Below are 2379 nucleotides of genomic sequence, written 5' to 3'. Positions count from 1 at the left end.
CCAAAGATGATGCCATCTTTCTTTTTTGCCCATCCTGTGCCCTCGTGAAGAGGCAGTGCCAAGCCCTACCTCTCCCAAAGTGTAAAGAGCATTGGATTCGGAATGAATAAGTCCATGTTCTGATCAGAGTCCACAACCACCAAATTCAGAGACTTGAAGCAAATTCTCTGGGCCCCAGTTTGCTTGTCTATTAAAAGAAAATTTCTTTTATTTTCTCTTAATTGAAGAGTCTTTCCCTCCCAGGCCAGTTGTGGGAATCAAAGTGGATGATGATCTTTCTTGCCTGGCTTACATTTTCCAAGTTTTAGTCTCAGCTTCCTCTGAGAAATCTTCCATGACCTCCCCTCCCAGCCCTAGTATCAGGTTGGATCCCTTCCCTTCCTCTGGACTCCAAAGTCATCTTTGAGTTCTGCTGCCCAGAATGTGGCTATCCTGTTGTCATTGCTCGTTTATTGGCATGAATATTCCTTTAGATTACAATCCCCTTGAGGCCAGGGATGTATCTCTCAGCACTATACCTTCAGCGGATAGCAGAGTGCGCTTTTGAAAAATATTTTCCAAGGACACTTTCTCTCTTTTCTGCCAGACCCAGCTCCATGATCTTAAGTGGTGGCAAAGATGTGAATGAAGTAGGTTTAATATTCCCAGAAACACTATTTATTTTGCAATTGAGTTTCTAAAAGGTATTATCTAGGAGGAAAGAATTTGGAGATTTCTTCAACTGATAGAGACTGCAGTAACCATTCTGCTTCCTGCAGGCTCCAAGGAGCCAAAGTCCTTGTTTCCTATGTATTCATGGAACATTGCCTAAGAGCAGGATTTGTTGGCTAAAGCACCATCAGGAGTGCAGAGCTGGAGAAGGTGTATAGGAACATGGCCTACAAGACAAGGACACGAGCTGCAAGAGGAGCATGAACGTGAAGTGAGAACACCTGAGCTCTAACCCTGGTGCTTCCAGAATCACTGCCCCTCTCCAGGTCTCACATTTTTCCTCTCTATAATGGACACATGCTATATCAGTTTTCTTCAAGCCTAATTTTGCCTTGTTTTGCATTGTTATCAGCCAAAAGTCATTGTTCAAAACGTAGCCTAATACAGCAGAGTCACTGTTTAAAGTAGGAATATGGAGCCCGAAGCTATGTCCTTGCCACACATACTCTCCCACCTCCCCTGTGGTCCCTGAGGAAGGTGAGTGGACTTCCTAAGGTTCTTTGGGACACAGCTTGAGGACAACAATGCCAGGTGATTGGTGGCCCTGGTGGCCCTGACAGCCTCCCAGCTGTGGTTTTTATGACCTGTGGCTCAGGTGAGCAACTTCTCCCTTGCCCTGGATGAAGAAAGCTATGGGACAAAAGACTTGCAGCACTAAAATGGGAAAGTCCCAGGAAAACTGAGCTGAATTGGTTACTCTGCCTGTGTCCTACCCAAACCACCTCTCCACACTTTGGAGAAGGGCAAGGCCCAGAATTATGCATGGTCAGGAGGGTAGGCTGGGAGGTAGTGCCTTCAGGACCCATCATATATAACTGAAACCTTTCACCCAGAGCTGCCAGAAAAACAATTTGAGAGGTTGATTGAATTTTCTTTTTCTCGTTCTCTTTGTTCTTTTGTCTTTGTTCTCCTTGTTCTCTTTGTCCTTTCTACCATCCTTCAGTGACTTCCATTGCCTCAGAAGAAGGATCACACGGCAGAAAAGCAGACAGAACACTAGCGTGTTTCAAAAGCCAACATTGCGGACTCGCAAACACCTGAGTTTTGGGGTTTAAAAAATCTAAGATACAAAGAACTCAGTCTACATAATATATTTTACAAGCAACATGTTTTTAAAAAGGTAAAGAGCTGTGTTCATTTCCTACTGTGCCTGCAATAAATTACCACAAACTTAGTGGCTTAAAACAGTGCAAATGTATTATCTTCCAATTTGGGAGGTCAGAAGTCTCACATGGATTGCACTGGGCTGCAATCAAGATATCAGGAGGGCTGTGCTCCCTCTGGAGGGCAAATTGGAATCCCCATTTCCTGGTCTTTTTCAGCTTCTGGAGACCACCTTCATTCCTTGGCTCATGGCCTATCCCTGCATCTCCAAGTTAGCAGTGTAGCATCTTCAAATCTCTCGCTGACTCTGACCGTCATCCCATCTCCTTTCCACCCTCTGCTTCCATCGTGATGCCACTTTCTTCTCTCCGAACCTCCTCCCTCTCTTTTCTAAAGACCCTTGTGATTACATTGGGCTTACCTGGATAATCCAGGACATTTCCCCTCATGTCAAGATCTTTAATCACATCTGTAAAGTGTCATTGCCATGTAAGATAACATATTCACAGGTTCTGAGTATCAGGGTATAGACCTCTTTTTGTGGGAAGAGGAGGTCAATATTTT

The sequence above is a fragment of the Homo sapiens genome, chromosome 14 (genome assembly GCF_000001405.40).
Source record: "Homo sapiens chromosome 14, GRCh38.p14 Primary Assembly".
NCBI classification, from domain to species: Eukaryota; Metazoa; Chordata; class Mammalia; order Primates; family Hominidae; genus Homo; species Homo sapiens.
Note: the sequence above shows the minus strand (reverse complement) of the source record.